The sequence below is a fragment of the Homo sapiens genome, chromosome X (assembly GCF_000001405.40).
Source record: "Homo sapiens chromosome X, GRCh38.p14 Primary Assembly".
Classification (NCBI taxonomy): domain Eukaryota; kingdom Metazoa; phylum Chordata; class Mammalia; order Primates; family Hominidae; genus Homo; species Homo sapiens.
In genome coordinates this window covers 112,417,288-112,441,417 of record NC_000023.11, presented here as the reverse complement: position 1 = coordinate 112,441,417, position 24,130 = coordinate 112,417,288, and the positions used below count along the sequence as shown (strand labels likewise).

Here is a 24,130-nt window from a genome sequence, read left to right as displayed (position 1 = left end):
TTGAAAAATATTTTAAGAAATGGTAGGAAAAGCTTAATCGGGGGTAGGGATCAGGAAAGCTGTCTTTACATATCAGAGAGCCTTCATGGGTAAAAGGAGGCAGTCTAATTCCATGAAAAGCAAACATTAGTAGTATGGAAGCTGCAAGGTAGCATATTTGGGAATCCTACAATATAGAACCTTCTAATTTTAGAACTGCCTAACAATAGAATGAGTTTCTTCATTAAAAAAAAGAGGTTCCTATTACTGGAGGTATTCAAACAGAGATTGGATTAACGCTTCATGGGAATGTTTCAAAGCAGATTCATGCACCAGATAAATTCTGGTTGCATGTGCTCAAATGTTTCTATGAGAATGTGAAGCTCATAATATCAAAATTTTGTGACTTCTGACTTTTCCTTTCTGTTCTCTGCCCTTTCACCTGACTTCTGGCTGACCTCCAATTCCTAATGCTTTAGTACAACAAATGTCTGGAAATCAATCCCCATTAAAGTAATTTGAAGATTTTCCTTTCCCAGAGTTTCTGAGTTGCAGTACATTTCCCAAATAAGAAGGTGTAATGGTGAAATTTCAGGCAAAGCAACAATCAGTGAATAAGATGTTTTGGCTAGAATTTCATGCCTGTCACCACTCATATTAGATATAGCAGCTAAATCATCTAGTCTACCTACTGGCTAATAATGTAGGCCTTAAAAAGAAATCAAAGAGACAGAAAGCAAAGCTCCTAAATATGATTTGCAAAGCAGGGCAACAGATGAGGACTAACAAACTTCTTCTCAGCTTGGTTTTCACATCCGCATAGACCTGACTATCAAAAATTGTCCATCTGCCAACCCATTTTTGTATCCAACACCCTCTAGCCCTGATATGGTACTGTATGTTTTTAGAATACTGCTTACATCAACTGACAGCTTTTTAAAATATACCCATCAGGAGTGATGTATCTTTTATTCATCTTCACACTTTAAGTGTCTGTCAGGCTGTCAAGTCTTCCTGTCTTCTGCAAGGATGTATCATCACAAAGAAAACTGGTTGTGACCTGCCACCAGGCCTCAGAGATTCAGTCTGCAGGGAGGCCCTGCAGAGCTGCGCCAGAGAAACTTGTTCCCAAGCCATCTGATCTCCTTCATAAAAAATAATCCAAGAAGGAAACAGAATGGAATTGCATCAAGGAAATGTTCATTTAACTTGCATTATAAGTGAATAAAAAATGGAATCAATATCTCTAGGGATGGCTAAAGAACCAGCCATCAAATGGGTTTGAGTTGACTTTATAGTGGAGGCAGTGCATTGAGCTAGGCATCCTCAAATGTATTTGTCACCCGTAGTAGCAACCTTATAGAGGACATTTGTGTTCCTCTTTCTTCCATCTTTTTTTCTGTCCAAATGGCTTTTAATCATTCTCATTTGCAAATATCTTTTCCAGGTGTGTTTTAGTCCATTTGTGTTGCTATATAGGAATGCCTCGGGCTGGGTAATTTCTAAAAAGAAAAGTTTATTTGGCTCATGGTTCTGCAAACTGTACAAGAAGCATGGTGTAAGCATTTACATCTGATGAGGGCCCCAGGAAGCTTCCAATCATGGCAGAAAGAGAAGGGGAGCCAGCATGTCACATGGAAAGAGAGAGAGCAAGAGAGAGAGGACAGAGGTGCCAGACTCTTTTTAACAATTAGATCTCACAGGAACTAACAGAGCAAGAAGTCACTCATTATCCAGAGGGCAACATGAAGATGTTCATGAGGAATCCATCCCCATGACCTAACACCTTCCAACCAGGCTCCACCTCCAACATTGGGGATCAACATGAGATTTGGAAGGGACAAATATCCAAACTATACCAAGGGGTATTGGCAGATTTTTCTTTACAAAAATCATGGGAGAAGTATCTAGCATGTGGGTAGTATCATCTCAAAACATAAAGTCCTCTTGTTTCTAGGTCATTCCAGGAAGATGTTTAAGACTCAGAGAGGGCAAGTGATGGACTCTGTGTAATTCAAGGAGAAAGGAGTAAAACTCTAAACTCTTTATTACATCCAACTCCAAGCCTCAGAGAGAGTGAGGACTGAGAGTTCACATATCAACAGTGGTATAAGTCATGATTTTGAGTAACTCAGGGTTGGCCATTACTGCAGAAGATAGAGGAATGCTGAAAATTGGCCATTACTGTCACCATTGATATGGAATTTTCTGGCAGCAAGACTGTGTTCCAGCTCCCCATATACCCTACCTCTGATAGTCATGTAGATGAGGAGTTAATCTGCCAAAAGCCCTCACGACCTTATGAGTGCTGGCTCAAGAACTGGTGGAGTTGAGGCCTACTGGTGATGGCCATAAGGAAATAGAGCTATGAGGAACTGGAGAAAGCTAGTATGTTTACTTCCCTGCTTCTGGACTACATAAAGACATTGGTTTCCCCCAGAGTTTATTATTTTAAAGCTTACTAGCTTCGACGATTTTCGAAGTGACTGAACTTTGCTGGGTTAGGGCTTCCGAGTTTAACACTCCCTATTACAGGCCTTATCACTTAGTTAAGGATGAGTGGCATAAAACAAGCTCTCAATTCAGCTTAGTTGAATGGCTCCTCTGGTCTCATGTGCATATTAGGAAGGAACTTTTGCTTAAAGCTCTGGGTAATTAGTATGACAACCAACTAATCGTGACTTAAAATAAATCTATTTATTGACCACCTGAAAAATCTCTAGGATCCAGAATCATGACCTAAAATAAACTTGTCTTCATAGAGATGAGTAGGACAGGGGAGATCTGAGGTATAGGGAGTACTGGAAGAAGAGTTTGTTCCCCTGGAGAAGGGAAAGTGATTCTGAGCAGGGCAAACCCTAGTGGGTCAGAGTAGGACTTGAGTTGGAACTTGCAGTCTCACTGCGTACGATCAAGGAAAAGCAGATTTCAGGAATGCTTCCATGCCACTGCTGCCACCCATGGGCTAGAACTACAAGTCTCAGTCTGGGAGAGTCTAGAAGTGGGGGCAGAGGAGAGCAGTGGTGGGAAGAAAGCCATGCTGGGAACTGTAGTACTGTTGCCTCGAAGTTCATTGGAGCCAGCTGCAATGCATCAGGATACTCAAGCAGCCTTATGGAGAGGTCCACAGGGTAAGGAGCCAAGGCCTCCTGACAATAGCCAGCATCAACTTGCCTACCATGGGAGGAAGCCATCTTAGAAGTGAATCCCTGGCCTCAGTCAAGCCATCAGATGACTACAGCCACAGATGATATTTTGACTACAGCCTCATTAGAGACCCTGAGCTAGAACCACCCAGCTAAGCCACTCCTGAATCTTTTACCCACAGAAACTATGTGAGAAAACAAATGTTGGTTGTTGTTTTACCTCCCCTCCACACACAGTAAAAGATGAGTAGAAGTTTTACAAAGACAGAAGTCATCTTTAAAAAATGACCAAAATGGGCACCTAACTGCTGAAGACCCATGGCATTTTGTACCAGCTTACAAAATGGACACTAAGCCCACCTACAACAGCGCTAAAAGAAACCAAACATCTGATGGATATGGATGTCAAAAAAGAGGCAAGACATAACAACCTCTACCACCACCACCACCACCACCACCACCACCACCACCACCACCACCACCACCACCATCACCACCACCACTACCATGACTTACAGAGTGTTTATTTTGGGCCTAATACTGTATTTCTTTTACATCTGAAATTTCATGTAATCATGAAAACAATCGAATAAGATCATTCTTATCCTCATTTTACAGAGGGAGAAAATGATTCTGAAAGGTTAGTGGCTTGCTGCAGATCCCTCCATGAGATTCAAACCCAAGTCTATTTGACTCAAAGCCCTACATTCTTTTTTAAACTATTTTTATTATATATTGACAAACTGTTGTTGTATATATATATATATTGGGTACAAAGTAGTGTTACAATTTTCAAATACAATATAGAAAGATTAAATTAAACTAATTAACATCCATCACCTCAAATATTTAACATTTTTGTGATGAGAAAATTAGAAATTTATCTTAGTGATATTGAAATGTACAGAACTAAATTATTAGCTATATTCACCATGATGTGCAATTGATCTAAAAATCAAATTTATTCTTCTTGTCTAGCTAAGAAAAGCTCTATATTCTTAACTAATTATGCTGGACTGTCTTGTAGAGATGATCTGGTCAAAAATATGCTGGTGTTGATAGAAGCATCAGCTTCTTAATTGGTAGATTCCCTTGAGCTCCTAACTTATTCCCTCTTCATCTTTTCCATCTATTGTCTGCCAAGTCGTGACTGAGACAGGAAAGTAGGTAGAAGCTAATGGCCCAGAAGGAATAAGGCCTGTATGTTTCAATTTAATAAATTTGGAGGCTTTTCTGCAAATGTGTTCATCATCTCCATTTACTATCATTGGTATATGAAAGACACTGGTTGTTCCTATTTTACAGATGGCAAATCCAAAGGATAAAGTATCCTCCATCACGGAGCCAAAATGCCCTAAACACCAGCCCAGTGTTTCTCATTTCACAGGCTATCCTGTGACTGCCACTGAGGCTCCTGGGTGACTACTGACTTTTTCTGGTTGGTAAGGAACTCCTCCAGCCAGCAGAATTAATGTTTAAGGACTGTTTTGTGTTTAGCAGACTGAAGAGTCAGACTGAAAGTTATGGTGAACAACAGGCTTTGGGTTATAGTTCTCACATCTGGGGCGCTGGAGAAGCCAGTAGAAATTTACTCCGAAAGTTCCATGATACAAAAAAAAAAAATGTCCTTCTCTCATAATTGGAGAAAAAGTGATTTATCAGGGGCTGCCATGGAATGTTCTGGTTATTCATATCTCCTATCGATTTGTGCAAATACACATGTATAAAAGAATAAATCATATTTGCTTTCAGAAACATTGTTTTCTGTTCATAAAGAGACTGGTAATTTTATGAGATCTATTGATTTTTCCTAAAATAACATGATTTAGTTTTGAACTCCCACACCAACAGCTCAGAAGGCGAGGCGCTGGAACTTTAAATTATTGATTTTTTTTTTATTGTAAGAAGGAGTTTGAAGTTTTTTCCCCAAGTGTCTATGCCTTCTCCATCCTACCCATTCAACTCCACTTTTACATTTTCTTATTAAAAATCCTTAGGTTTGATAAAGGAGAAATGAAACAAAGTTCGTTAGGAAGAAACCTCTAGTATGGTAGTTTTTTTTTTTTGTTTTGTTATGTTTGAGATGGAGTCTCTGTTGTCCAGACTGGAGTGCAGTGGCACGATCTCGGCTCACTGTAACCTCCATCACCCAGGTTCAAGCAATCCTACTGCCTCCACCTCCTGAGTAGCTGGGATTACAGGCATACACCACCATGCCAGGCTAATTTTTGTATTTTAGGTAGAGAGGGGGTTTCACCATGTTGGTCAGACAGGTCTCGAACTCCTGACCTCAGGTGATCTGCCCGCCTCGGCCTCCCGGAATGCTAGAATTAGAGGTGTGAGCTACCGCGCTGGGCCTAGTATGGCATTTAGAATCAATCAATAAGCAAAACTGTGAAGTTTGAACATGACCATCTGATAAATATTTTTCTTAAAGGAACAGAAGGGAGAAGTAAAGCATGCATGTATGGATTTAATAACCTAATGAATTATATCCTTAGGCAAAAATGAAGCTTAAAAAACAAATTTTAAAAGTTTTTTGTTTATGCTTTGTCAATAGTTCTCAAGATAATATCACTTGTCTCTTTTCGGACTTTTTCTAGCTTCCTTCTAACACTGAGTTTTTCTTGAGCTTTACCTTCTGAACTTTCCACTTTCCTTTTACCTCCATCTCTCCTACTGAGAATGAGCTCAAATTCAAGGGAATCCAATTACTTGGAGATGTATCATGAGGGCATGGGAGTTTGTTAGCAATTACTTCTTTCAAATTTATTGCCTTTACGAAATGTATTTTCCTACAATGAAAACAAATTCTCCCCAAAGACAGTAATGTTATTTTTTAGAACTCTCAAGAAGATACTAATAGTAACTGCAAAAAAGGTTGTACCATAAATTATAAATAATCACACAGGCACTCCAAAAACATGCAGCTATCTCCTTGAGAAAACTGAATGAATACACAGTGGACATTCAATCTGAGCATGTTCTGAAGAATTGAAACATGTGCAAGGGGTTGTCAGTATACAAGGATGCTTGGTAGTGTTGGTTGGTGGTGGGGTGGTGGACTAATATTAGTGTGACTTTACCCAGTAATATGGTTTTGGCTCTGTGTCCCAACCGAAATCTCACCTTGAATTGTAATTCTCATAATCCCCAAGTATTAAGGATGGGACCAGGTGGAGGTAATTGGATCATGGAGGCAGTTTCCCCCATGCTGTTCTCATGACAATGAGTGAGTCTCATGAGATCTGATGGTTTTATAAGCATTTACAGCATTTCCCCCTGCTTGCACTCATTCCATACTGCTGCCATATGAAGAAGGTGCCTGCTTCTCCTTTGCCTCCCACCTGACGTAAGCTTCCTGAGGCCTTCCCAGCAATGCAGAACTGTGAGTCAATTAATCCCTTTTCCTTTATAAATTACCCAGTTTCGGATATTTCCTCACAGCAGTGTGAGAACAGACTAATATACCCAAGACTCACTAAGCTGATGCCGAAGAGATCCATGGTAAACAAAGTGCCCAGAAGATAACAATAATTTGTTTCTAAAATTCCAAGCTTTACTTCTGGTTTCTGGTCCAGCAGGTAAGAAGCTTTAGAAATAACCACTCGGGTTTTTTGAAAGGATCAACAAAATTGATAGACCGCTAGCAAGACTAATAAAGAAGAAAAGAGAGAAGAATCAAATAGACACAATAAAAATGATAAGGGGGATATCACCACCGATCCCACAGAAATACAAACTACCATCAGAGAATACTACAAACACCTCTATGCAAATAAACTAGAAAATCTAGACGAAATGGATAAATTCCTCGACACATACACCCTCCCAAGACTAAACCAGGAAGAAGTTGAATCTCTAAATAGACCAATAACAGGCTCTGAAATTGTGGCAATAATCAATAGCTTACCAACCAAAATGAGTCCAGGACCAGATGGATTCACAGCCGAATTCTACCAGAGGTACAAGGAGGAACTGGTACCATTCCTTCTGAAACTATTCCAATCAATAGAAAAAGAGGGAATCCTCCCTAACTCATTTGATGAGGCCAGCATCATCCTGATACCAAAGCCGGGCAGAGACACAACCAAAAAAGAGAATTTTAGACCAATATCCTTGATGAACATTGATGCAAAAATCCTCAATAAAATACTGGCAAACTGAATCCAGCAGCACATCAAAAAGCTTATCCACCATGATCAAGTGGGCTTCATCCCTGGGATGAAAGGCTGGTTCAATATACGCAAATCAATAAATGTAATCCAGCATATAAACAGAGCCAAAGACAAAAACCACATGATTATCTCAATAGATGCAGAAAAGGCCTTTGACAAAATTCAACAACTCTTCATGCTAAAAACTCTCAATAAATTAGGCATTGATGGGACGTATTTCAAAATAATAAGAGCTATCTATGACAAACCCACAGCCAATATCATACTGAATGGGCAAAAACTGGAAGCATTCCCTTTGAAAACTGGCACAAGACAGGGATGCCCTCTCTCACCACTCCTATTCAACATAGTGTTGGAAGTTCTGGCCAGGGCAATTAGGCAGGAGAAGGAAATAAAGGGTATTCAATTAGGAAAAGAGGAAGTCAAATTGTCCCTGTTTGCAGATGACATGATTGTATATCTAGAAAACCCCATTGTCTCAGCCCAAAATCTCCTTAAGCTGATAAGCAACTTCAGCAAAGTCTCAGGATACAAAATTAATGTACAAAAATCACAAGCATTCTTATACACCAATAACAGACAAACAGAGAGCCAAATCATGAGTGAACTCCCATTCACAATTGCTTCAAAGAGAATAAAATACCTAGGAATCCAACTTACAAGGGATGTGAAGGACCTCTTCAAGGAGAACTACAAACCACTGCTCAAGGAAATAAAAGAGGATACAAACAAATGGAAGAACATTCCATGCTCATGGGTAGGAAGAATCAATATCATGAAAATGGCCATACTGCCCAAGGTAATTTATAGATTCAATGCCATCCCCATCAAGCTACCAATGACTTTCTTCACAGAATTGGAAAAAAATACTTTAAAGTTCATATGGAACCAAAAAACAGCCCGCATCGCCAAGTCAATTCTAAGCCAAAAGAACAAAGCTGGAGGCATCACACTACCTGACTTCAAACTATACTACAAGGCAACAGTAACCAAAAGAGCATGGTACTGGTACCAAAACAGAGATATAGATCAATGGAACAGAACAGAGCCCTCAGAAATAATGCCGCATATCTACAACTATCTGATCTTTGACAAACCTGAGAAAAACAAGAAATGGGGAAAGGATTCCCTATTTAATAAATGGTGCTGGGAAAACTGGCTAGCCATATGTAGAAAGCTGAAACTGGATTCCTTCCTTACACCTTATACAAAAATTAATTCAAGATGGATTAAAGACTTAAACATTCGACTTAAAACCATAAAAACCCTAGAAGAAAACCTAGGCAATATCATTCAGGCCATAGGCATGGGCAAGGACTTCATGTCTAAAACACCAAAAGCAATGGCAACAAAAGACAAAATTGACAAATGGGATCTAATTAAACTAAAGAGCTTCTGCACAGCAAAAGAAACTACCATCAGAGTGAACAGGCAACCTACAAAATGGGAGAAAATTTTCGCAACCTACTCATCTGACAAAGGGCTAATATCCAGAATCTACAATGAACTCAAACAAATTTACAAGAAAAAAACAAACAACCCCATCAAAAAGTGGGCAAAGGACATGAACAGACACTTCTCAAAAGAAGACATTTATGCAGCCAAAAAACACAAGAAAAAATGCTCACCATCACTGGCCATCAGAGAAATGCAAATCAAAACCACAATGAGATACCATCTCACACCAGTTAGAATGGCAATCATTAAAAAGTCAGGAAACAACAGGTGCTGGAGAGGATGTGGAGAAATAGGAACACTTTTACACTGTTGGTGGGACTGTAAACTAGTTCGACCATTGTGGAAGTCAGTGTGGTGATTCCTCAGGGATCTAGAATTAGAAATACCATTTGACCCAGCCATCCCATTACTGGGTATATACCCAAAGGACTATAAATCATGCTGCTATAAAGACACATGCACACATATGTTTATTGTGGCACTATTCACAATAGCAAAGACTTGGAACCAACCCAAATGTCCAACAATGATAGACTGGATTAAGAAAATGTGGCACATACACACCATGGAATACTATGCAGCCATAAAAAATGATGAGTTCATGTCCTTTGTAGGGACATGGATGAAATTGGAAATCATCATTCTCAGTAAACTATCGCAAGAACAAAAAAACAAACACCGCATATTCTCACTCATAGGTGGGAATTGAACAATGAGAACACATGGACACAGGAAGGGGAACATCACACTCTGGGGACTGTTGTGGGGTGGGGGGAGGGGGGAGGGATAGCATTAGGAGATATACCTAATGCTAAATGACGAGTTAATGGGTGCAGCACACCAGCATGGCACATGTATACAAATGTAACTAACCTGCACATTGTGCACATGTACCCTAAAACTTAACATACAATAATAATAAAATAAAAAAAAAGAACCACTCAGGCCTAACAACAAATAAAAAGCTAAACAAACTGAAAAAGACAAACAACTCTTCTTAAATGTGTCAGAGAAGTGAGGTCACAGGGCAAACTGCTGCCCCCTAAATTAGAGAGACAGACAGGCAGATGGAGAGAATTCCAACATACAAAAGCAGAAACCCAGGAGCAGAAATTTCCATAGGAACCAGTGCTGCAGTAGGAAAACCTGAATTGTAATTGACAAATTGCTGGAGGCTTAATGTGGACAAGCAAGGGTTAAAAACTCCAGGGCGACTCTGTCATGGGGCTTCCACATTTTTGTAAGTTTTATTACCAGGAGCTCTACTAGGTCCTCACAGTGAATACTGTAGAAAATTCCCTTTATTCTTCTGGTAGAGAAGAAATATGAAACATTTTAAAATAAGCCAGAGCATTCTGTTCTTCTTAACAATGCCTGCCTTTAACAAAAACTTTTTTTTTTCACCAGAGCCTAACAAGCTAGGGTTGTACCAAAGCCTAATCTTCCTGGATGAAAGGAAATATGCAAATCCAGCCCCCTCCAACCTACCATGTAGGAGAAGGGAAATATACAAATCCAAACCCCTTCAGTCATCCTGTGGTACCTAAAGAGAGAGAGAGAAAAAAGAAAACAGAAACACTGGTGAAGTTCACAGTCCAGGGGCATATGCTTATTAAAGGGCTGATACCTAATCATAGGACTATGGAATGCTAACTCTTCCCCTCCACCTTACTGCTACATTACTAAAGGCCTTTTTGACACAGATCTTTTTGCCCAATACATCATATCTATCTTTCAACAAAAAATTACAAGGCATACTAAAAGATATGGGCATGGTGGCTCATGCCTGTAATCCCAACACTATGGGAGGTTGAGGCAGGTGGATTGTTTGAGTCCAGAAGTTCTAGAAGAGCGTGGGCAACATGGTGAAACTCCATCGCTACAAAAAATACAAAAAAATGAGCAGGGCATGATGGCTTGCACCTGTAATCCCAGCTGTAATCCCAGAATCTGATGTGGGAGGATTGCTTGTGCCCAGAAAGTGCCCAGTGCAGTGAGCCGAGATTGTGCCACTGCACTCCAGCCTGGGTGACAGAGTGAGAATCCGTCTCAAGAAAAAATGATAAAAAAATAACACATCGTGAAGAAAACAGACAAGCATCAGAGCCAGAGTCAGATATGGCAGTAATGTTGGAATTATCAGAACAATAAATTTTTAAAACCATGATAAATATGCTAAAGGCTTTAATTGGAAAAGCAGGTAACGTTCAAGAACAGATGGATAATGTCAGCAGAGAGATGAAAATTCTAAGAAAGAAAAAGAAATGCCATATATAAAAAACGCTGGAACAGAAATGAAGAATGCCTTTGATGACCTAATTAATATACTGGACATAGCAGAGGATGGAATCTATGAGCTTAAAAAAATCATAATAGAAACTTCTCAATTTGAAAAAAGAATAAAGAAAAAAGACCGAGAAAAAACTCTCCAGAACAGAATATCCAAAAACTGTGGGAAAATGAAAAATGCATAACACCTATGTAATGAGAATACCAGAAGGAGAGGAAAAAGAGAAAAGAACAAATGCAACATTTGAAACAATAATGACTGAGAATTTTCCTCAAATTAATGGCAGACACCAAACCACAGATCCAGTGATCTCAGAGAACATTAAGCATGATAAACGCCAGAAAATACACCTAGGCATATTATATTTAAACTTGAGAAAATCAAAGATAAATAAATATCCTCAAAGAAGCAAGAGATAAAAAAAGTCTTATCTATAGAGAAACAAAAATAAGAATTACATCACATTTCTATTCAGACACCATGCTAGCAAGAAGAGAGTAGAGTGAAATAGTTAAGATGTTAACAGAAAACTCCTCTCCCAACATAGAATTCTATACACTGTAAAATTATCCTTTGAAAGTGAAGGAAAAAAATAATTTCTCAGATGAAAAAAAAATTGAGGAAATTTGTTGCCAGTAGACATGCCTTGCAACAAATGCTAAGTGTTGTAGAGAGCAGAATGGTATTCGTCAGAAACCCAGATCTACATAAAATAAGGAAGAGTATTAGAAAAGTAATAGGTAAAGGTGAAATAAAAATTTTTATTTTTTTTTTGGCTTAACTGATCTAACTGACAACAGTTTGTTTTAAATAATAATGGCAACATAAATTTGCTTATGTATGCCTAGGTATAAGTGAAATACATGACAACAATGATACAAGGGAAATGAGGGAGGAATTAGGAATATTTCGTTATTATAAGGTACTTGTGTTATCCATGAAATGGTATGGTGTTATTTAAAAGTCAACTTGGGTTAGTTATAAATGTATATTGCAAACACTAAGGCAACCATTAAAAATTATAAAAGGGTAAAAATTATAAAAGGAAATAAAATTAATATTCTAAGAAAGGAGAGAAAAGGGAATCTCATAAGATGTTTAATTAAAACCAAAAAAAGGCTGAAAATCTGTGGAAGATAAAAGAGGAAACAAAGAACACGGGCAATAAAAAGAAAACAGTAACAATATAGTAGATATTAATCCAACCATGTCAATGATCACCTTAAACATCAATGGTCTCATTACCTCAATTTAAAGACAGACTGTCAGAGTGTATCGAAAAACAAGACCCAAGTATATGTTGTCTACAAGAAATCCACTTTAAATATAAAGACACATTTAGATTAAAAGTAAAGGGAAGAAGAAAGACATACCATTCTAGCACTCATTTTAAAAGTAGGAGTAGCTATATTAATTTAAGACACAGCAGACTTCAGGGCAAGGAAAGTTATTAGGGGTAAAGGGGAATTACAGAAAAATACAGGGACAACACAAGAAAACCTAGCAATCTTTAGTGTATATGTGCCTAATGAGAGAGTCTCCAAATACCTGTGGCAAAAACTGATAGAATTGCAAGAAGAAATAGATGAATCCACTGTTATAGTTGGAGACTTTAACATTTCTATCTTAGAAAAGGACAGACCTTGCAGGCAGAAAATCAGCAAGGACATAGTTGAACTCAAAAGCACCATCAAACGACTCTATACAATTGACATCTATAGAAAAATTCACCTGACAGCAGGATCTACATTCTTCTTAAGATCACATGGAACATTCATCAAGATAGACTACACTGTGGGTCAGAAAATACCCCTTGACAAATTTAAAGTTATGGAAATCATGCAATGTCTGCTTTAAGACCACAGTACAATTAAACCAAAAATAAATAACAGAAAGGTAGCTGGAAAATCCCAAATACTTGGAGATTAAACAACCCAGTTCTAAAAAATACATGGGTCAAAGAGGACATCTTCAGAGAAATTTTAAAAATATTTTAAACTAAATAAAAATGAAAATACAGTATGGAGATTTCTTAAAGAACTAAAAATAGAACTACCATTTGATCCAGCAATTCCACTACTGGGTATCTACCCAAAGGGAAAGAAGTCATTATATGAAAAAGATGAATGTGCACACGTTTATAAAAGCACAATTTGCAATTGCAAAGATATGGAACCAACTTAAGTGCTCACTGACCAATGAATGGATAAAGAAAATGTGGTATATATACACCATGGAATACTACTCAGCCATGAAAAAGAACAAAATAATGTATTTTGCAGCAACTTGGATGGAACTGGAGGCCATTATTCTCAGTAAAGTAACTCAGGAATGGAAAACCAAATATCACATGTTCTCACTTACAAGTGGGAGCTAAGCTATGAGGATGCAAATGTGTGAGAATAATATAATGGACTTCGGGGACTCAGAGGGGAAGGGTGGGAGGGGGATGAGGGATAAAAGACTACATATTGGGTACTGTATACACTGCTCGGGTGATAGGTACACCAAAATCCCAGAAATCACCACTAAAGAATTGATCCATGTAACCCAAAACCACCTGTACCACAGAAACTACTGAAATAATAATAAAATAACAAAATAAAAAAATTAAAACACATTTTATCAGAAGTTGTGGAATGCAGCAAAAGCAGTTCTTAAAGGGAAATTTATAACATTAAATGCATATATTAGAAAAGAAGAAAAATTTTAAATTATTAATTAGGAAACTAGAAAAATAAGAAAAAAATCCAAAGTAGGAGAAAATAAATAGTAAAAATTATTCAGTACAACGTTGAAAACTAGTAGTGAGAGATGACACCTTGCTTTGTTCCTGATCTTAGCAGGACAACTTTGAGTTTCTCATATTAAGTATGATGTTAGCTCTAGGTAAGCAATAGATAAGGATGTTCTTTATCAAATTGAGAGGTTTTTTTCTCTATTCCTAGTTGGCTGAGAATTTTTCCCAGGAATAGATGTTCGATTTTGTCAACCTGCTTTTCTGCATCTCTTGATATGATCATGTGATGTTTTTCTTTATTAGCCTATGGATGTGAAGGATTACATTAATTGATTTTTGAATGTTGAACCAGCCTTGGGTACCTGGCATACATCCCAGTTGGTCATAGTGTGTAATGATTTTTATACATTGTTGGATTTTGTTCCCTAATATTTTGTCAAAGATTATTGCATTTGTGCTTATAAGAAATATTGGGCCTCAGTTTTCTTTGCTTGTAATGACTTTATCTGGTTTTAATATTAGAGTAATGCTGTTCTCATGTAAGAGTTAGGAAGTATTTCCCTTGCTTATATCTTCTAGAAGATATTGTAGAGAATTGGTATAATTTCTTTCTTTAATGTTTTGTAGAATTCACTGCTAAACTCATCTGGGCCTGGTGCCTTCTGTTTTTTGGAGGTAATTACTTGTTTATTTGATTTTTTTAACAGATACAGGCCTATTCTGATTTTATTTCATTTCATTTTGTTTTGTTTTACTTTAAGTTCCGGGATGCAAGTGCAGAACATGTAGGTTTGTTCAACGTTGTACTGAAAGCCCTACCTAATATAACAAGACAAGAAAATGAAATAAATATAGATAGATAGGGAATAAAAAATAAAACTTCTTTTTTTGCAGGTGATATGATCATCTATGTAGAAAAATCTGACTGCTTTCCTATATAACAGCAATTAACAAGTGGAATTTGAGATTAAAAACACATTGCCGTTTACACTGGCACCCCCAAAATAAAATACTTAGGTATAAATCTTTAAAAACATGTACAAGATCCTTATAGAAGCACTACAGAACTCTGATAAAATATGTAAAAGAAGAACTAAATAAATAAAGAGCTATTCCAGATTCAAGGATAGGAAGATTCAATATGTTCGAGATGTCAGTTCTTTCCAACTTGATCTATGTATTCAACACAATCCCAAATCAAAAATCATAGCAAGCTGTTTAGTGGCTATCATCAGACTAATTCTAAAATGTATATGGAGAAGAACAAAATCAGAGGACTGATACTACTGGATTTCAAATTTTAATATAAAGATAACAATGTGGTATTGGTGAAAGAATAAATGAATAAATTAATGAAATAGAATAGAGATCTCAGAAATAGACCTATATAGCCTACTGATCTTTGATAAAAGCACAAAGGCAATACACTGGAGTAAAGACAGTCTTTTCAACAAATGGTGCTAGAACAACTGGACATCCACATGCAAAAATCATGAATCTAAACACAGACCTTATACATGTCAAAAAATTAACACTAAATGTATCATAGACCTAAATTAAAAATGAAAAACAATAAAACTCCCAGAAGACAATATAGGAGAAAACCTTTATGACCTTGGATATGGCGATGACTTTAGATACAACATCATATGTGCAAACCAAGAAATAAATAATTGAGAAGCTGGACTTCATTAAAATAAAAACCTTCTGCTCTGTGAAAGACAATGTTAAGAGAGTGGGAAGATAAGCTGAAGATTGGGAAAAATATTTATAAAAGGCACAGCTGATAAAGGACTGTTGTCCAAAATATACCAAGAATCTTTAAAACTCAACAATAAGGAAATTTTTAAAAACCTGATTAAAAAGTAAGCAAAATATCTGAACAGATATCTCACCAAAGAAGATATATAGATGGTAGGAAAGCATATAAAAGGGTATTCAACATCATATGTCATTAGAGAATTGCAAATTAAAATAACAGTGAGTTATTACTGCATATCTATTAGAGTAGCCAAAAATCCCAAACACTGACGACACCAAATGCTGGACAGGATGTGGACAACAGGAACTCTTATTCATTGCTGGTGAGAATGCAAAACAGTACAACCCCTATGGAAGGCAGTTTGGTGGTTTATTACAAAACTAATCGTCCTCTTACCATATGATCCAGCAATTACACTCCTTGGTACTTACCTAAAGGAATTGAAAACTTAAGTCCTTACAAAAATTTGCACACTGATGTTTACAGTAGCTTTATTCATAATTACCAAAACTTGGAAGTAACCAAGATTAATAAAAGCGACTCAATTAATAAACTGGGGTACATCCAGATAATGTAATATTATTCAGCACTAAAAGAAATGAGCAACGAAGCCATGAAAACACATAAAGGAAACTTAAATGCATATTACAAAGTGCAAGAAGTCAATCTAAAAAGGTTATTACTGTATAGTTCCAACTATATGACCTTCTGGAAAAGGCAAAGGTACAGAGAAAGTAGACAGATCAGTGATTGCCAGGGGCTAGAGGAAAGGGAGGGATGAATAGGCAGCGCACAGAGGATTTTAGGGCAGTGAAACTATACTGTACAATAGTACAACAATAGATACATGCTATTATACATTTATCAAAACACATAGAATGTACAACAGCAAGAGTGAATCCTAATGTCAACCATGGACTTTGGATGATAATAATGCATCAATGTAGCTTCATCCATCATAAAAAATGTACCACTATGGTGCAGGATGTTGATAATGGGGGAGTTTGTGGGAGGCGAGGGGGTCAGAGAATATATGAGAACTCTCTGTACTTTCTGCTCAATTTTGTTATGAGCCTAAAACTGCTCTAAAAATAAAATATATTAATGTAAAAAAACCAACTTCAGTAAAATATTTCTTAAATTCCCAGCCCTACTCTTTCTATACCTTTCCCATATGTTAGAAAAAAAGAAAATCCAGGCAATCGAAAGCCTTTTTCCTAGGTAGACATTATGACATTAGTGCTTTTAACCTGCTTCTCACATGGGGCCATTTATTAAATTGCTACCCAGTATGCTTCAGATTAGTTGCAACCTTAGCAGAACTGTGCACATGAAAGATTCATGTCTTGGGTACTAATCCAAGAAGATCATTCACTACAACCTCAGATGTAGCAGTTACCAGAAGATTTATTTTCAACCTCCTCACACAATGATAATCAGACTTTATGTTTTCAATGAGTGGTTTGCAATGCCTGTGAACTTTTCTACAACTCAAAGTCCAGAAGGTTAATCAGATTGTGTTTAGCTAGACCAAAGAGAATCTGTAAGTGGAAATAATTCTGTTAAAGCCAAAGCTCCCCAAAGATATTAACAACATCTGTGCATTTGCTGCCTTGTAAATAGCATATTTATTAAAGATTTTTCATCAACACTCTTCCCGGCATGTCCTGGGGTTGTTATAACTGTATTTGAATTAATTTATGTTCTTTCATTTATATTAAGTCTACAAGTATTAAGTTCCAACTGGAAAAAACTGTCCTTTTGGATTTATATGGTTGATTCTGATTACTCTATGAGGGGAGTTTACAAAATCATCCCAGACATCAGGTACACGAACTAAAGACTGGTTTCAGCAATCGGGACTGAGTATCCTGATTGGAAAATGAAACTGGCAGAGAGAGAAAACATGGGAAAGTACAACCCATGTAAGTTATGACCAAATTCTGGGTTTTAGGATATTAGATAGGTAGGATGTTAAGTAAGTACAGCCCCAGGACCTGGGCAAGATGTCAATTGACAAATGTACTAGTTTGAATGAAATAGGGATTTGAAGCCAGGGAAGATAAACCACATAGTATATTTTTCAAATTTTGCATTAATTCATTTGTAGCAAGACCACTTTTAAAATCACATAAGGAAGCTCATGAGACATCCTTGTGGAGCCCTAGGAAACTAGAAACATCCCCTAAAACAAGAATCAAGAACACAAGGTGGCCAAAACAAGAAGTCAATACAGCACAAAATGTTGAGTACAGTTGGTCAGTATGGGATTTATCAAGCACAAACTTCTAGGTTCCTTGCAATGAGAGTTTCACATAGAGGTAAAGATACAATTTTCAGGTGACAGCCCAGAACTTCTTTATAAAAGAATCCATTTTTAGTACAGCCTAATGGTCTGAGTGGATTGAGTCTTCCATAAAACTGGAGTATTATTTGATCTTTGTATGTAAGCTCATGCTATATAACCAGGGCACTTGGGCGGGGGGCAGGGGGTGCTATTGACCAATAGAATCTATGAACCTCCACTTCCTTTCCTGTCAAAGACTAGTTTGAGTTGACAGCTAAGTACTTGGGGAGATCGGTAAGTTGCTTTGCCTTCATACATCCATAATCCACATGCATCGACCAAGTCCCTTTATCTATACCTGAAAGGAATTGATCTATCACCAGACACATGGTTAAGGAGTGAGTCAATTGATTCTCCTGTCATTTACATTTTGGCATAAAAATCATAGGAATCCCATCCCCCCCCCACACACAATGAAATAAAACAACACAAAGACATGCTTGTAAATTAATCACTCAATTTAAATATTATTTTGAGCCAAACATAATTCCACCCAGCAATGTGGGACAAAATATTTGAGTAACAGTGACATAGAATAAAATAAAATAATCAAAAAAGAAAACAAATAGCTTAACACTTTCATAACAAGCCACTTGGTAGTTGAGGTAGGTATTACTATCTCCATTATTCAGATGGGAAAGCTGAGGCTCAGGGAGGAAAACTATAACCAAGGATGCAAACACAGCACTAGAAGCCAGGTCCATCTTAATCATAATCCAATTCTTTTCCAGCTACATCTTAGCTTGCAGGGGAGAACTGAAACTAAAGGAGCAATTTACAAGCAGAATCTAGACTCTTAAGAGTTTATAGTCAACATTATATTCTTAAGGCTTTTGAGGGCTTGGATGTACAAGAAGTCAGTGGACAACACTGATCTTTATCCCTGAGGCCCTCTTTAAGGTGCCTCATGCCTAGTAAATTTATTTTCTTTTACTTAGAAAAAAAATTGCTGGTGGTGGGTCAGAGACGACCAGAGCAACAATAAAAGATAAGACCAGGGAAGGAACCCCCCCTTTGCTGACTAGCATCAGAATACTACAGACACAGTGATTATTAGAGTTTGCTATCTATGATGCCAGCTATCTCTCAGCTTGCAAATAATCCCTGTTTTCTGGGTCATAGATAGCAAATAGGTTTCATTTCACATGCCAAATCTTGTCAATTGGTAGTGGCCATCTGCAGTGCTGCATACCTCTTTCACAGGGTTGTTGAAAGGATTAAATAAGAGAGTACCTAGAAAGTACTTAGAAGCATGCCTATTTTATAGTAGTCACTCTATAAATGTTAATTTTTGCTCCTCTATTTCTTAGAAATAATATTTTTCACTTTAATTATTTATTGGACAGCTAGACACTTGACTATCTGTTTTCACTCAGATTTGTTATTTTCAGAGAAAGAGATTATGAAAACACTTCATAAATAACAAACCTTATACAAATATTGTTAGCAATAGAATTATTAAAATATTATTACCAAATTGGACAAAATTGATTCTCAGGTTGATCCATCTGTTTCTTCAATATTTTTGTTGGGCTAAACTGTCTCTTTATTGTATGCATTAACTGCTTTACATATTTCCCTCAATTCAGTTATGTTCAACCACTACTTATCAAGAGTTCCAATGCATCCAGCAATTCTGCTAAGCACTGTTGTGGATAACACGTAAATAGAAGACCAAGTTCCTTATTACAGAGCTTATGTAGTAGAAGTCAAAATCAGACTCAAACACAAAACCATTAAGAATAAATGTGTGGAACCAAATTCCAAACTGAAGAACATCATCAACTCTGTGTACTATACACAAGAATGATGGTGTGTGCTCAAGAAGGGGTGTCCTGGCCTCACTCATATCAGCGTTCACTGTGGAGGCTAGTTAGGTTGCTAATTTTCCCACTCATTCCTGTAGACGTCAAAGTCCCATTTCTCCAGAGTAGTTTGGGATTGAGGTATCTTGGTGTAGTAAATGTTTCAGTGACATAAAAATCTGTATCATTTACGTTGTCCACAAATTCCCAAATACCAAAGAACCAGAACAGTTTTCTTTTCGTAAAAGTTCATGATAATTCAGAAGGCACTTCATGAGCTGTAAATGCACTGGGATCATTAATATGCATATAGATTATCATTTGCCAGGACTAGAGAAAAATTCTGTTTATTTAGATTCTCCAGCATGAATTCTGGGTAATGAAGACCTTACATTTGTACAAATTATCCTATTTTTAGTGTTTTCACATTTATTCCCACAATTTTTCTTTATGGTAGCCTATTGTGAAATAGGTGGAATAGGTGTCAATAGTCTTGACAAATCCAGTTTTAGTCAATAAACTCTAATGAATGCTTACTACATGCCAGTTACTGTGCTAGTGATATAAAAATACAACAGAGCCCTTGTTCTCACAAATTCATTTAGATTACTAACACCGGTACAGCTGTTGATAATGCTAGTATGGCACTTAACACATTATGATAAAAAATGCAACAGGAATACAAAAAGGGAAGTGTTAATCTCACCTGGATTAAAAAAAAGGTGAAAGCCTTACAGTAGTGGTGGAACTTTAACTGGGCCCTGATGCGTAAATGGTTTTTACCCGGCAGAAAAAAAGGAAGGGTATACTAGGCAGAAAGATGAGCATAAGCAAAGAATGTAAGATGTAGATAAGTATGATGAAACCTGGGGCTGGTGAACAGTTCTGTGGGCCCTATGTGGCCAGGCATATGATATGTGGCTATTCAGTAACGGGAAATAAAGCTAGAAAAATAAACTTGGGTTGAATTGGGAAGGGCTTTGAATGGTCTGCTGAAGAGCCCATAATAACTACTGCTACTTTTAGCACTTCCTATGTGCCAAGCAATGTGCTACCTGCTTTAAGTATGCATTCTCATTTTTCTCCTCACAAAGACTGCATGAAATCAGTATTGTTTTAATTCCATTTAAAATTGGCCCAGGACCTAAGTGGCAGAGCCAGGATATAAATCAGGTCTGTTTGGTGCCACAGCCCATGGTCTTAATCCCTCTGTGCACTGCCTAACATATTACGTCTCTGTTGGCAGGGCTCGCTGATCCGCCTCTTGTGTCCCAGGAATATTCTCACCTTATTTCCCCTCTTTCAGCTCCCTCCTTTAACTCTTTTATAGTAAAACATCTCTTGACACAACAAAATGAGTTAGAAGGAGGGGCTGCTGACTACTTCCACCAGTTCCAACTGGAAGGCTGTTTTGGGGAACATTAAGAATTAGCTGCTCCTCAAGCCTTGGTACTTCCAGACCCTACCTGAGGTAAATACACCTGTGCTTGGTTCATTAGTGCAACCTACTAACTGTTTCACTGGCAAAATGCCCCTACCTATTCCACAGTCATTGGATGAATTATCTGAAGTTATCTGGACATCTCTGGGGAAGAAGATATAACAGGGTTAATCCATTTCTAAACCTCTCTTAGAATTTTAGGAGATTCATCAAGAATGTCAGAAGAAAAAAAAAAGTCACAGCCACCCACCCACTCTCCTAATGACAGCTTAGATCTTCTCAGAGAAGAAATTTCCCATTTCTGGTGTGAATGTAATTTTCTCTGCTTTGGAGCCCTACCCTGTAATCTAGGGAAGCTGACATTTTCCATTCTGTAATAGGGTAAGGACATTGGTTTGATGATTTTCCTTTGCCAGAAGCTCTTTTTCTTTCATGGCATATGGTAGCCCTGGCTGCATCTGTTCTGATTGCCAAGAGCTTCACCATTTTCTAGGGAGTCTTTACAAAGACAATGGGTCAAAAACCATAAATCCATCCCCTCTATTGTTACAAGAGTCTTAGCCCCCTTACCATTTCTGTGAGGGTATGCCTGTCACCTGATTGGGGCCACACCTGTCACCCAATTAGAGTCAGATTTACATACTTAAATATATATATATACATATACATATGTAAAAATATATATATATATATATACTACCTTGGCCAACATAGTGAAACCCTGCCTCTACCAAAAAGACAAAAATTAGCCATGGGTGGTGATGCATGCCTGTATTCCCAGCTACCCGGGAGGCTGAGGCAGGAGAATCTCTTGAACTCGGAGGTGGAGGTTGCAGTGAGCTGAGATTGCGCCATTACACTCTAGCCTGGGTGACAGAGTGAGACTCCGTCTCAAAAAAAAAAAAAAAAAAAAAAAAAAAAAAAAAAAAAAAAAGCTGAATGGAAGCTCCAGAGATCATTAAATCTGTCTCCCAGGTTTCTGAAACAACTCTATCTAAATTGCCCTATGTATCTCTCTATAGAAATGAGGACTCCAAAGGGACAGACTCCCTCCCAGGTAACTGCCCCATTTCCCAAGTCCCAGTTCTTTCTGGGGCTTGGTTTTAGATCTAAAATCTGTGGTCAGATAGGTGATGCCTGTGATCTCTGGAGTAGCCCCTGTGGATCCTTATGCAAGGAGACTGTCCCCACCAATACCACCAGATATATATATAAGATATATATATATATATATATATATCTTATGTGAAATTTTTTTTGCCATTCCAAGTATCTCCCATGCTTTCTTTCTTACTTGGTCTGTGAGGTAGGCAAGATAAATACCATTGTCCTTCAATATATGAGGAAATTCAAATGTAACAAAATCAGTATTTTTTAAAGGGGAATCCAATTTGGAGTGGAAGTAAAATTAGAATGGAGGTCTTCTACTCTCAGCATTGTGGAGACTCTACTATATCACTTTGCTTAAATAAGGCATAAACAGGTTTTCCCCACTTCCCTACACACTCCAGTATTTGCATGCTAATTTTTTCCTTCATGACTTAAGAGCCTCTGAAGCTCTTAATGTTCTGGTTGAGGATATGTAGCCACCTAGAACTGACCAGACATTTGGAGAGGCCCTGGGAAGACCTGCTCCAGATTCAGGGTGCTGGCTGAGTGTACAATCTCAGTGTTATTAGGCTAAGTTTTGTTAGGTCTCTTCTGTGTCATAGTAATCAATAATACCTAACATTCTTCCATTGTTTTCTATGTACCAGGAAGAGTGCTGTGTGCTTTGCAGGGATTGTCTTGTTTACTTCTAACAACCCTATGGAGTAGATACTATTTTTTAATCTTAATTTTTCAAGCTCTTAACCATTCAAATTTGCTTCCACCCCAATACTGCAATACTAGAGACCTTCTAAAGAGTTTAATGACAGAGACTAGTGTTGAGGAGTTGATTTGTCATTCGTGTTTCCTTCCCTAAATCTATGTCCGATGCCTATTTTTAACAGCTTTTGGAGATATGTCACACCACATAATTCAGCCATTTGACGTGTATAATTCAATGTTTTCGGTACATTCACATACTTGTGTAACAATCACAACAACCAAATTTTATTTTATTTGTTTATTTGTTTTTTTGAGACAGAGTCTCGCTCTGTGGCCCAGGCTGGACTGTAATGGTGAGATCTCAGCTCACTGCAACCTCCACCTCCTGGGTTCAAGTGATCATCATGCCTCAGCCTCCCGAGTAGCTAGGACTACACGCACATGCCACCACGCCCGGCTAATTTTTGTATTTTTATTAGAGACAGGGTTTAACTATGTTAACATGGCTGGTCTCAATCTCCTGGCCTCAAGTGATCTGCCCTCCTTGGCCTCCTAAAGTGCTGGGATTACAGGCGTGAGCCACCACAATCAATTTTAGAACATTTTCGTCACTCCCTAAAGAACTGATCTCTATTTTGATGGTGTTTTGTTTTGTTTGGTTTTAATTTTGTGGAGTTGGATCTGGCCTGATTCCAGATCTTTTCTAGTCAAAGATCTAGAGCAGAGATCACAGACTCAAGTTGTGCAGGGGTCAAGTAGATAACACCAAAGAGTGACCAATCATCAACTCTGAAGTAGACCATGGCAAATCAGGAGTCTGCCCTTTGAGAGGGAGCCCCTGCAACTGAGCCATGTTGGAACGTAGTCCCAATTGCCTTTTAAAATAAGCCAGAAATACAGGCTTTTATAAGAAATTCCCTGGATTTTTTGGGTGATAGCAACTGAATTTCTTCAAAAACAAAAAACTATGTGGGGTAAGAAAATAATGTCTGTGGAATGGATTCAAAACTTGGGTCACTAGTTTGTGACCCTTGCATTGAAGAAACAAGGAAACTCTCTAAGTTTTTTTGGACATTATCCTCCCCTACCACTTGCCCATCTACCTAACTGGAATTTAAGTTATCTGCCCTTAGGGCTTTGATTTGAGTATAGTTTTGCCACAATATAAGAAC

General features: G+C 37.7%; 1 protein-coding gene across 2 annotated transcripts in view; it reads right to left on the bottom strand.

The window, feature by feature from the left end:
• The window catches only part of RTL4 (retrotransposon Gag like 4), a 374,502-nt gene that overhangs the window by 16,097 nt on the left and 334,275 nt on the right, over nucleotides 1–24,130 (bottom strand). The window contains exon 4 of one of the 2 annotated variants that reach the window (NM_001395362.2): nucleotides 10,250–10,304. The exons of the other annotated variant lie outside the window; for it this stretch is intronic. The gene's annotated coding sequence lies outside the window, so the exon portion shown is untranslated. The remainder of the gene's footprint in view (nucleotides 1–10,249; nucleotides 10,305–24,130) is intronic. 2 annotated transcript variants of the gene reach the window in all.